This window comes from Homo sapiens, chromosome 3 (assembly GCF_000001405.40).
Source record: "Homo sapiens chromosome 3, GRCh38.p14 Primary Assembly".
Taxonomy (NCBI): Eukaryota; Metazoa; Chordata; class Mammalia; order Primates; family Hominidae; genus Homo; species Homo sapiens.
The window spans coordinates 122,269,490-122,282,375 of NC_000003.12; the positions used below are offsets into that span (position 1 = coordinate 122,269,490).

The following is a 12,886-nucleotide window of genomic DNA, read 5'->3' on the forward strand; positions in this document are numbered from 1 at the left end:
TAGTATGTTATTGTAGTTGACCATCAAACCAACCTTTCGTTCCTGGGATTAATCCTACTTGGTCATAATGTATATTCCTTTTTGTACATGTATTTGTGTGTTTGATTTACTAAAATTTGGTTAAGAAATTTTGCTTCTATGTTCATGAGGACTATTGGTCTAAAGTTTTATTTTCTTGTAATGTCTTTGTCTGGTTTTGGTGTCTGGGTAATGATGACCTCAGAATGAGTTTGGCAGTATTGACTTCTTTTTTGATGTTCTGTAAGACTTTTGTAGAATTGGTATTAATTCTTCCTTAAATCTTTGGCAGCACTCATCAGTGAAGCCACCTTTAGTTGGTTTTCTTTGTGGGATTGTTTTGTTTTGTTTTGAGATGGAGTCTTGCTCTGTCACCCAGGATGGAGTAAAGTGGCATGATCTTGGCTCACTGCAACCTCCGCCTCCCAGGTTCAAGAGATTCTTCTGCCTCAGCCTCCCGAGTAGCTGGGATTACAGGCATGCACCACCACCACCAGCTAATTTTTGTATGTTTAGTAGAGATGGGGTTTCACCATGTCGACCAGGCTCGTCTCTAACTCCTGGCCTCAAGTGATCCACCCACCTCGGCTTCCCAAAGTGCTGGGATTACAGGCATGAACCACTGTCCATGGCCTGTGGGAAAATTTTGAACTGAAAATTCAATTTATTTAATGGATAGAATGCTATTTAGGTATATATGAGTCAGCTTTGATAGTTTGTCTTTCAAAGACTTTGTCCACATCGTCTAATTTGCCAAATTTACTGGCATAAGTTTATTTATAATATTGTTTACAATGTTCTCAGACTATAATTATAATGTCTGCAGCATCTGTAGTGTTGTCACTTCTCGAATTTATCATATTGTAAATATGCATCTTCTCCCTTTTTTCTGATCAGTCTGGCTAGAGATCCATCAACTTTATTAATCTTCTCAAAGAATCAGCTTTTGGCTTTAGTGATTTTTCTCTATATTTTTGTTGTCTGTTTCATTTATTTCTATTCTGATCTTTGTCATCTCCTGTCTTCTGATTTATTTCAGTTTAATTTGCTCTTCTTTTTGTAGTTACTTATTTGGAAACTGAAGTCATTGATTTAAAAACCTTTCTTTTCTTATAATATAGACATTTACTGCTATAAATTTCACTATAAATATTTTATTAGCTGCATCCCTCAAATTTTGATATGCTGTGTTTTCATTTTAATTCAATTTAAAATACGTTCCAACTTTCCTTTTGATTTCTTCTTTGGCTCTCAGGTTTAGAAGTGTGTTATTTGGTTTCCAAGTTTCCAGTGATTTTTCCAAACATTTTTCTGTTATTTGTTTTTAATTTAATTCCATTGGAGTCAACATATTTTGTTTGATTTTAATATTTTTAAATTTATTGAAACTTGCTTTATAATCCAGAATATGGTTTATCTTTATAAATATTTTGTGTTCTTGAAAATAATGTATATTCTGTTGTTGGGATGACTGTTCTGTAAATATCAATTAGATCAAGTTGGTTGATAGTACTGTCCAAGTCTTTTAAGTCTTTTATATTTGTATTGATTTTCTGCCTACTTCTTTCAGCTAATACGAATGCCCTATTGACCTTATTTTTCTCATTTATCCTCAGACTGATAAAAACCTCATCATGGGCATGACTTGTCCACATAGTCATGCTGGACACCTACAGGTTTAATATCTATTCTATTAATTATGCACTCAAAAGACAAGGTTTGAGTATCCACTAAAATCTAGGCCCTCTACAAACCACTGGAGATACAGAAGGAAATAAGGCAGTTCCTGCTTTAGAGAAGTTTGGTCTAATGAAGTGTGGGTACAACATTCCTAGCCACAAAGATTCCAGAGTGCTTCCTTCTCCAGATAAGATGTTTACATTGCCATCTCTTCCCTCCTGCCTACTCTTTATCTCCCTGCCACATCCGAAGTTGGACTTGCCATGTCTCATTACTCAACTCGCTACACCAAGTATCCTAGAGGCTACCTTGTTATCAAGGATCCTGCCAACTACAAATGTCGGTTTCACTAATTAATTCATATTTGGATTTTTAAAGTCCTTTTCCATGCCTTCTTTTTTGCAACAGCTTTATAAGATGTAATTCACATGCCATACAATTCAGTCATTTAAAGTATACAATTAAGTGGCTTTTAATACATTCACAGTTATGCAACCATAACCACAGTCAATTTTAGAACATTTTCACCACATCAAAAAGCAACCTCATATCCTCTAACTGTCACTCCCTAGGCCCCCAAAGCCCCAGTCTTAGACAAACACTGATCTACTTTCTGCTTCTATACATTTGGACTTTCCTGGATATTTCATATAAATAAAATCATAAAACATATGATCTTTTGTGACTGGCTGCTTCTTCCATATTGTAACATGTATCAGTACTTCATTCCTTTTTACAGCCAAATAGTATCCCATTGTGTGGATATACCACATTTTATTTATCTGTTTACCCAATTGATGAACATTTGGATTGTTCCCACCTTTGGTTGTTATGAGTAATGTTGCTATGAACATTTATGTACAAATGTTTGTGTGGACATATATTTTCATTTCTCCTAGGAATGCACACACACACACACACACACACACACACACACACGAGTAGGATTGTTGGGTCAAATGATGACTCTATGTTTAACTTTTTAAGGAACTGCCAGACGTTTTTTCCAATGTGGCTGCACCAGTTTACATCCCCACCAGCAGTCTATGGAGGACCCCAAGTTCTCTACGTTTCAATCAGCCCTGTTTCTTATCTAATCCAATACTTTTTAATGTGAAATCTAGCCTCTTTTTTGCCTTGGCTCCTCTTTACTTATCTTCTGTATTTCCCCTTGTTCTCTAGTACATACATGATTCTTGAGAAATTGATCTCTTTACTGGCCCCATAACACATCATGTTTATTCCTAATGTGATATCTTTGCCCATGCTGTTCCACTGTTTTTAACACCTTCCCTCCCTCTGTCCTTTGCCAGCCAAAATATGCCTGAAACCTGCATTGATCATTTCAGCCCTTTTAAATTTCTATCTCCTCTAAGTTTCTCTGTACTTAGAGATGATACCCCATCAGTTAGCAGTTAACTATATTTTATCTTGCACTGTTTACTGCTTCATTGAATATTTATGTCGTGCATTTTATCCCCTAATCCATATGAAAACTCCATGAGGATGGGATGACCATATCTTGTAGTTCTGCAGCCCAGTTCAGAACACACAGTGGATACTCTGTAAATATTTCCTGGTTGATTGATTCCAATATTATAAAATTCCAGTCTTGTATTTATCATGAGTTTTTTAATGACTACTTAGAAACTTTAAGAAAATGATTTTTGATTGTTTCTCCTTTGAAGTTAGGATTATGGTGGAAATCTCCAGCCCATGCCAACAATAATGCAGAAGACTTGTAGCCAGGGATGAGCTTTAAGTCACTTGTCTGACCAGTGTGAAAGATGACCAGCTAATTATGAAAGGATCTTGTGCAGTTCCCCTCCCCACTTCTACCCTGATGCTGGGAGAGTTCCACTGCAGAGAACTAGTGGACAAAGGAGAAAAGCAGCTTGTTGCCTGGCATGTTAAGAACCAAGGAACTGAAACCTAAATAGGAAGAAGAAATGTATGCTAACTACTAGAGCTTTACCACAATATATGCATTTCAATAAGGATGTATTACTGACCTCTAACAAACATTTGCCATGGACACTGTAAGCAATTTATATTAGAGGTGTAGGATGATGTTGTAGAAAAGCCTTGTTTAACCCGTAGCTCCAGCACTTAGTGGCTATATGACTTTTGCAAGTTTCTTGACCTTTCTATGCCTCCGTTTCATCATCTAGAAAATGAAGATACTAATAGTTCTAATCCATAGAGGTGTTGTGAGGATTAAATGATATAGTATGTATTAAGTATTAGAACAGGGACTGGCACATAGGAAGTACAAATAAGAGGTAGTTTCCTACCTCTTCACTTTTCTCATCTCCTTTTCCACACACACAGACCTGGCATGGCATGTGGACAGGATAGTGGAAACTCTATGATTAGGATGAAACATTTGCACTGACAAGTCATGGTAGGTACATGGGACCAAAGTATGGAGGGCTTTGGAAGCTACCTGAATAAGTTTGAAGCACATTTCATCTGAGTCATGGTAGGTCCCCAGCAGGAAGTGGGAGGGGCACGATTACAGCATGGAGAAGGATGATGGCCATGTCAGAAAGGCCCCCAAACTGCTAAGAGCAAGGTTTCGAGCAATGTGGGAGTGAGGGCAGTATTAAAGAGCAGAAGAACTGCATGTTCCTCTGAGGGCAAGAAGGATGTGTCAGGAAAAGGATGTGTTGGGGTAGAGACAAAAGGATGTACACCACTCTGGGTAGGAGGAAGTCAGGTCACCCCAACAGCGAGGAGGGATAGGAAGCGGAGGTGGAGGTAAAAGAAAGGAACACATCTAGAACACCTCCTCTGCACTGACGGCCTTAAGGCCTCAGTAAAAATGAAGGCAAACATAAGGTTGTCAACCATCAGAGAAGGTGGGAAGGCTCAGGAGAAGACGAGGGACACAAATCCTTAGTAGGAGCCATTCTCCATCTTTTTTGAGGATGGCTCAGCAGCTCTGGTTGCAGAACCAGGTAGCAGGGAGTGAGGGATCCCTCTCCTTCATAGACCTGAGTTGAAAGTCAGGGCAGTCAGGGCCTGCCAATGGAGCAGCGTTCACAGACTGCAGGTTAAGGGAGGCACCCAGGGTGCTATGCCTGTGAGCACACATAGTCTGTCATGGACTCTGCCCCCAAGCATGTCTTGGAGCTACTTATGGATAAATCCAAGTGACTCCTCTCCTGTATTTAATATTCCTTACTATAAATAAATGTTTGTCTAAAAATAAAGTTAATACAGATATCAATTGTTAAGAAGCAGTGCCATCTCTGGAGTGGAGTGGGACAGGAGAGGTACTGGCTCAGTCCACGTGTTTGTCACACATATCAGAATAATTTGGCCTCAGAAAGGCCTATTAAGGCCATTCATTAGATGGACTCAGCCCAAATGTTGTCCCAGTGTGAGATTAGACGTTGGATTTTAAGTACCTTAAAAAGAATGATAAATGGCTGGGCGCAGTGGCTCATGCCTGTAACTCCAGCACTTTGGGAGGCTGAGGCAGGATGGTCGATTGAGCCCAGGAGTTTGAGACCAGCGTAGGCAACATAGTGAGACCTTGTCTCTACAAAACCAAAAAAAAATTAGCTCAGAATGGGAGACTACTGGAGATTCAGGAGGTGCAGTGGAAGGTGTACCCTACACTCACAGGCTGGACCCTGCCTTACTCTCACGTGGTGTCACAGTGACACAAGGCTGGCCTCACATGAAAGATAAGTGGCTGAGTGCCCACTGCCTCCTCTTGACTGATGTCAGGAGCATGTGAGGAAGCAGAGCCAGGAGCCCAGCGATGCTGCAGTAGAGTACAGCAATTAAGAGCGCAGGATTGTGACCCTGGACGAGATACTTAAAGTTTTCAGTGCCTCAGTTTCCCCAGAAATAAAATAAGCTTAATACTATTTGTTGTGAGGATTTGATTAGATAATGGATATAAAGTACTTAGGGTCGTGCCTCAATGGTAGTAAAATGACTGATATCTAAAATGTTTACATGACAACATGTGGTATGTGTTAGTAATTATTATGATGACTTTTTTGTGCAAAGGCTTTGTGACATATAAAACCTTATAAAAATTCAAGGATTTGCCATGACTCTGACAACAATAATGGCCGGGCTTTGCCCACAGCCTCATCTCTTTCTTCCTTCACCCCACTCTGTGAATCTTGGCAGCAAAGCACTTCCACAGCAGCAGGATCATAGGAAAGGAAAGTGCGGAGAATAAGAGCACTCAGTCATTTCTCCTGTCCTTCCCCAATGCCCAGCTCAGAAGATGCCAGGGATGGACTCTGGCTTATAAATCCTGCCCCTCCTGGGGCACCACCAGGTGATGGCACACCTGCAGAACCTTTGACCTGGCCAGTTGCCAGGTGAGATGTCTCCCTTTCCTTTCCCCATCTTCAAGAAAGTGTTTCCTACCCTAATCATAATTTGAATAATAATTAAAGCCCATGGCTTAACAGGGCTGCTGCTAACACCGGCAAGTACTTTGGTGTGAATTAGAAAAAGCTGTCTCTTCCTCAAGTCACGTTCCTCCCACTTTGTTGGAACAAGATAGTCTACCGTTGTTGTGCAGGGCACAGCCTACCTAATTAGTTCTATGTGGCAGCCCTGGGGCTTGTACTCATTCTTTGCTCCTCTTTAGGTCCTGAAGCACCTACGGCATCTAAACTTTACAAACAATATGGGGGAGCAGGTGACCTTTGATGAGTGTGGTGACCTGGTGGGGAACTATTCCATCATCAACTGGCACCTCTCCCCAGAGGATGGCTCCATCGTGTTTAAGGAAGTCGGGTATTACAACGTCTATGCCAAGAAGGGAGAAAGACTCTTCATCAACGAGGAGAAAATCCTGTGGAGTGGGTTCTCCAGGGAGGTAGGTGCTGTCCATCAGAAAACCAGATGTCTCCACCAGGGGCAGGAAACTGTGCTGGGCTTTGGGAGGGCCTTTGGTTTCCCCACTGGACTTCCAAAATAAAGAGTCCACTTCCCTGAACTCTCTGGCCTTTGCAATCTTGGGGCTCCCTGTGAAATCCACAGTGTTTAGTGTAAAGAGAAGAATCTCCAGAACCTGAGCCCCATGCCTTCCTACTGTATTGAAACAGTTTCATTTTTCACAAATATGACTCCCTAGCTAGTCACAAAGTTTCCTTGGCTAAAACTTTCCCTAACCAGAGCAAAATATTTAAGCAAATGTAAACATCGGTCAAGTCAGTGGCTCTCAGCTCGGCCAAGGGCAGGGGAGACAAGTTTTAGAGTGGAGGGGACTGCTTTTGGGTTGTCACAATGACCAGGAAGTATTAATGGCCTTCAGCACTTGGGATCCAGGGATACTAAGTGTCCAGCATGTGTGGGACAAGCTTACATGACAAAGAATTGATCCCGCCTCAATGGCCAGTAACAGCCATTGAAAGACACTGGAGCCCAAAATGGAGCTGGATGTTTTCACCTGAGTCATTTGGTGTTGTCACCACCCTCACAGCCTGGACAGTTCACACAGAGGTAGTGTGACAGCCCGGGCTGCTGAACTGTAAATCAAAAGAACAATTTATTCTCCTCCTCCAGGAGACCTGTAACAAAGAGGAGGATGCTTGTGTGTCTGAGTATCACTGCAGCTAGAAGCCTGTTAATAACCAGAAGCCCACCCCTCAGTCAATTTGCACTTGAGGAAGAGAAACGTGATACACTGGAATGATGACCATTCTATGATGTTTGTGTCCTAGAATATAGCAGGCTGCTAAGAATCCAGGTCCTCTGTAAGAACACAGATCCTAGACAGGGCATCCTCTTAACTCTCCCAGGAAGCCTGGATAAGACCCACCACATTTCTATTTGCATTTGCCTTTTTTATTATCACCTTTGAGCATCTTGGACCACTTTTCTTTTTTTTTTTTTTTTTTGAGATGGGGTCTGGCTCTGTTGCCTAGGCTGGAGTGCAGTGGCACAATCTCGGCTCGCTGAAGCCTCTGCCTCCCAGGTTCAAGCAATTCTCCCACCTCACCCTCCCAAGTAGCTGGAATTACAGGCGCACCACCACACCCAGCTAATTGTTGTATTTTTAGTAGAGACGGGGTTTCACCATGTTGGCCAGGCTGGTCACGAACTCCTGACCTCAGGTGATCCACCCTCCTCAGCCTCCCAGAGTGCTCAGATGACAGACGTGAGCCACCATGCCCAGCCATCTTGGACCACTTTTTATAACATAACCAAAGACTCGCTTCGTCTTCTTATCAAATGCTTCTTAGGTTGACAGGTTCCTGATGAGATGCTACAACTTCACTGTTACCCAGTATGTAGATGGATTACCACTGGGAAGGTCTCCCATAGACAGTGAATCTCATCCACAGTGTGCCGTTTTTAATAGCTTACACCCCAGAGGGTGGGTTCTTAATTATAAATATGTCATGACTTTTCCAGATGGAGATTTGGGGGTTCCAGATGTTATATTCCTCTGTCCACTAATTATACCTTTGTCTAATTTATCACGTATTTTCACTGACTGGAGTCTAAATTGATCAGCTATACTGCCACCTGTTTACCCCTGTTGGATCATCCAGTTTATCTTTCACCCCCATTAATGCATAGAATTGAATTCTCTAATGGCACATGTCTCTCCACTGCAGCAGGGAGCTATCTCCTGTACAGTTCTCCATAGCCCTAACTGTCCTCTCCCAGGCTATGTACATCATGGGCTTAAACATTGATAGATGAATAACACAGGGAATTCTCATTAATTCAGTCACTTATGTTCTTGGAATAGTTGACACAGTTATAAGTTAAATCTAATTTTTTTCCATAGAAATATTACCTCAAACGTAGCACACAATGGATACTCAACAAATCTTAGGATCTACTCTATTATTTTCTGTGCTGTTGTGGAAATGACCACAAAAATACCACCTATATTTAACTATAAATTATATATTAGTAACTTCCCTATGTATTTCACAAAGTTGTTATTGAGATCAAATGAGATCAAGGATGAAAAGCGTATGATAAACTGAATCATACTACTAATATATAAATGCAAAGTATTAATATGGCATTATACTTAACTGATGTTCTCAATTTTCTTACAAATGTAGCACTAAATTTAGAGCTAGATAGATCTTTAAAGATCCTTGTATCCAAGCTTCCAATTTGAAGTTGATGACACTGAGGTTTTAGGATGCAAAGGTGACTTCTCAGGCCAAACAGATGGTCAGTATAAAAGCTGAGACTAGACCCCAAGGGCCCTAACTTAGACCTCAGTGCTCCATTCCCTACACTGTGCTGCCAATAATTCTTTCCTTGTTTTGCTACAACAAATAAGAAGTAAAAGAGACACCTTAATTAGGGTCTTGGAATTCAGATGAGCTTCCTTGGCCAGAATTGGACAGGCATCTTTAATAAGACTGTTGAGGAGGCTTGGAGATACTTGACTGCTTTTTGGAAAAATGGATCTTTCCGGTGGCTACCTCAGCCCACTCCTGTGGTGATAGGATTTCTCTTTAGCTCATGGTTGCTGAAGGATGCAGTAAGCAGACCCAGATGGAGACATTCTTCTAAGCCTTGACTGGTATAAAGCAGAGTTTGGTGTAGTGAAAAGTACAGACTTTGAAGACTGACCTGAGCGCGAATCTCAGCTCTCCAGTCAAGCCATTGTGTGACCTTCAGCCTGTTCCTTAACCATTAAGAAGAAGAGAAAAAGAGGCAAGGCAGACATTCCTATAGGCCCTCGTTATTTATACTCCTCTTTTTCTTTAAAAATAGAACTCTATTTTAGCTAGACACATGACTACCCAGATTCAAGATGACATTTTTCAGCCTTCATTTCTACTAAGTGCGTCCCCATGACTAAATCCTAGAGAATGGGATGTAAGTGGCAGTGTTGTGGGATGGCTTCTGGGAACCTTCTTTAAGAAAGTGCTTGCAAGTATCCTTTGCTCTCTTCTTCATCCCTTCCTCTATCTTGCCTCCTGGAAACCAAATGCCACTATCAAGGACTATGAGGCAAAGACAAACATGTCAGAACCACCAGGTAGAAAGAGTCTAGGTGTCCAACATTATGGAGTGCTATATCACTCTAGACCACATCCCTAGACATTTATATGAGAGAGAAATACAGTTCAGTCTTGTTGGGAGTTATTATTTTGAGATTTTTGGCACTCACAGCCTAGCAGAAACCAAGAAGGAAAGCTACTAAATTTATTTTGTGATGATAATATAATCTTGATACCAAAAACAGATAGAACAATACAAGCAAAGACAATTATAGGACAATATTGTTTGTATACGTAGATGCTCAAATCCTAAATAAAATATCACCAAACAGACCAGCAATGTATAAAATAAACATCATCTGCTAGTAGAGTTAGTGGTGAATGTACAGGAACGTAATGATAGCCAAACTTTACAAAGTTCATAAATGTAGCTTATTACATTAGCAGAATAAAAGATAAAAGTTCTGCAATGTCAGTAGACACAGAAAAAGTATCTATTAACATTTAACACCTCTCAGGTTAAAAACAAAAATTTTTAACCTCTCAGGTTTTAACCTCTCAGGTTAAAAACAAAAATTTCATTAATCTAGGAATAGAAGGGAACCTCACTTTACCTTGATAAAGGATACAGCAACCATCATTCTTTTTTCATTGTATTTCTTTTAAGTTCTGGGGTACATGTGCAGGATGTGCAGGTTTATTACATAGGTAAATGTGTGCCATGGTAGTTTGCTGCACCTGTCAACCCATCACCTGGGTATTAAACCCAGCATGCACTAGCTCTTTTCCCTAATGCTCTCCACCCCACTACCCTTTCCCAACAGGCCCCAGTGTTGTTCTCCACCCTGTGTCCATGTGTTCCCATTGTTCAGCTCCCACTTATAAGTGGGAACATGGGGTGTTTGGTTTTCTGTTCCTGCAAAACGTAATTCATCACATAAACAGAACTAAAAACAAAAACCACATGACTATCTCAATAGACACAGAAAAGGCCTTCGATAAAATTCAACATCCCTTCATGTTAAAAACTCTAAATAAACTAGGTGTTGAAGGAACATACCTCGAAATAATAAAAGCCATTTATGACAAACCCACAGCCAATATCATACTGAAAAGGCAAAAGCTGGACGCATTCCCCTTGAAAACTGGCACAAGGATGCCCGCTCTCACCACTCTTATTCAACATAATATTGGAAGTTCTGGCCAGGGCAATCAGGCAAGAGAAAGAAATAAAGGGTATTCAAATAGGAAGAGAGGAAGCAACCATCATTCTTTAATGGGGAAAATTTAGAAGCATTCCTAGTGTGGGTTTGGAAAACAGGGCCTTTAGCTTTCATTGAGTGATCAAATGGGTTGGCAACTCAAGGACTGAGAGCACATCTCTGAGGATACCTTGTCACCATAGTTGAAGATGATGATGTGAGTTGTCCTTTTCCCTCCCCTCCCCTTCCCTTCCCTGGGTCATGAGAGTCTTGGCAATCATCAGGTCCATTACTGCCTTTCCATTCCTCATTCATTAGAAGATAATGTCAATCATCTTCTGTTCAAGTTTTTTTTAACTCCTTTGTCAAGCCAGTCATTTCTGCTAGAAACAACGACAGCTACTTTACTGCTTTCTGTGTTTGTAAGACATCTTACAAAGTAGTAGGTAGAGGGGAGACCCATTAAATAGACATTATGGAAATAGTAAAAGCCCTACTATGTATTAAGCATTACTCCAGGCTTTGTACCTGGGGTTACAAAGATGAGTGAGAAGTGCTCTCTACCTCTAAGATACATATGCTGTTGCAAAACGGACTTCATTCTTATGATACATTTCTTGTCTTTGAAACATATACATTGTTAGATAGTAAATGACTAATAAATTCCTAGAATGAATAATCAATTAGCTGGTGCAAAGAATGAGATAGAAGCAGGACTTCTTGAAATGGTGAAGCAATGATAAAATTGAACAAAACTGGACAAAAACCACTGAAGAACCTGGAAGTTAACCAGAAGCACACAACAAAAGGTGAAGGGTTTTGTTTATTTGTTTTGTTTTGTTTTGTTTTTAACAAAAACTAATGAAATTCTGGTAAGAACACTGGTAGTCTATGGCATTTTAGCCTGGGCCTGCTCTTCAGTTGTTTCTAATAATTCGGTTGTTCTTTTGGGTTTTCTTTATGGCAACCATATCATCTGCAAATAACTACAGTTTTATTTGGTCCTTTTCAAAATGTATGCACTTATTTTTCTTGTCTGATTCCACTAGCTAAGACCTCCAGTGCAAAGTTAAAGAGTAGTGGTGATAGTGGATATCCTTGTTTTAAATGGAAATACTTTTAATGTTTTCTCTATATGAATGATGTTTACTCTAAGAGGTTTTTTGTTACCCTTTTTCAAGTTAAAGATATTTCTTCCCACTCCTTTTTTACTAAGCTTTTATCAATAGTTTGTGTTGGATTTCATCAAATGCTTTTTATTTATCTGTTGGTGATCATATGATTTTTTTTCTCCATTAATTTGCTAATGCAGTGAATAATACTTATAGATTTGTCTAATATTAGACTTTTTTGCACTCCTGAGCATAAACCCACCATGGTCATGATGCATTTTCTTTCTTATGTCCTTTGAGTCTGTTGTCTAGTGTTTTAGTATTTTTCATCTGTTTTCAAGTAGTAGAAAGTAGTGGCGCTTTTCCCAGATCATCATAGAATCCCAAGGGTGTGTGTCTGTGTATGTGTGCATGCACATGTGTGTGTGTGTGTGCATGTATACACACACACTTTCCCATAGTCATCTGTCCCTTTCACAGATATCAGAACCAAGGACCTCTGGACCTCCCTTTGCCTGGAATGGGCCCAACGTCTGTCACACTGATTCTTGTGCCCAAACTCCTCCCTCTTACATGTTTTGAAGAGACAGTAGGGCTGGCCCCTGACCCTACAACTACAGCCACTCACCTTTGTGCTGTCTGTCCTCCAGGTGCCCTTCTCCAACTGCAGCCGAGACTGCCTGGCAGGGACCAGGAAAGGGATCATTGAGGGGGAGCCCACCTGCTGCTTTGAGTGTGTGGAGTGTCCTGATGGGGAGTATAGTGATGAGACAGGTAAGGGAACCCCTCTTGGGCACTGTGCAGGGCTTGGTCCACTTCGGAGGCCTGGGGTCAGTGAAGCCCATGGAAGGGCTGGGCTGAGATGGTGCTTTGCACAGTTTCTCATTTAACAAAGGTATATCTGAGCATCACA

General features: G+C 40.7%; 1 protein-coding gene across 6 annotated transcripts in view; it reads left to right on the forward strand.

The window, feature by feature from the left end:
* The window catches only part of CASR (calcium sensing receptor), a 107,962-nt gene that overhangs the window by 85,822 nt on the left and 9,254 nt on the right, over positions 1-12,886 (forward strand). For 5 of the 6 annotated variants that reach the window (NM_000388.4, XM_006713789.4, XM_047449065.1 and 2 more), the window contains 2 exons: positions 6,323-6,553; positions 12,624-12,747. In NM_000388.4, the coding sequence (NP_000379.3) occupies positions 6,323-6,553; positions 12,624-12,747 (355 nt within the window). Of the gene's footprint in view, positions 1-6,322; positions 6,554-12,593; positions 12,748-12,886 lie in introns of all 6 variants that reach the window. The other variant, NM_001178065.2, reaches the window with a different exon arrangement.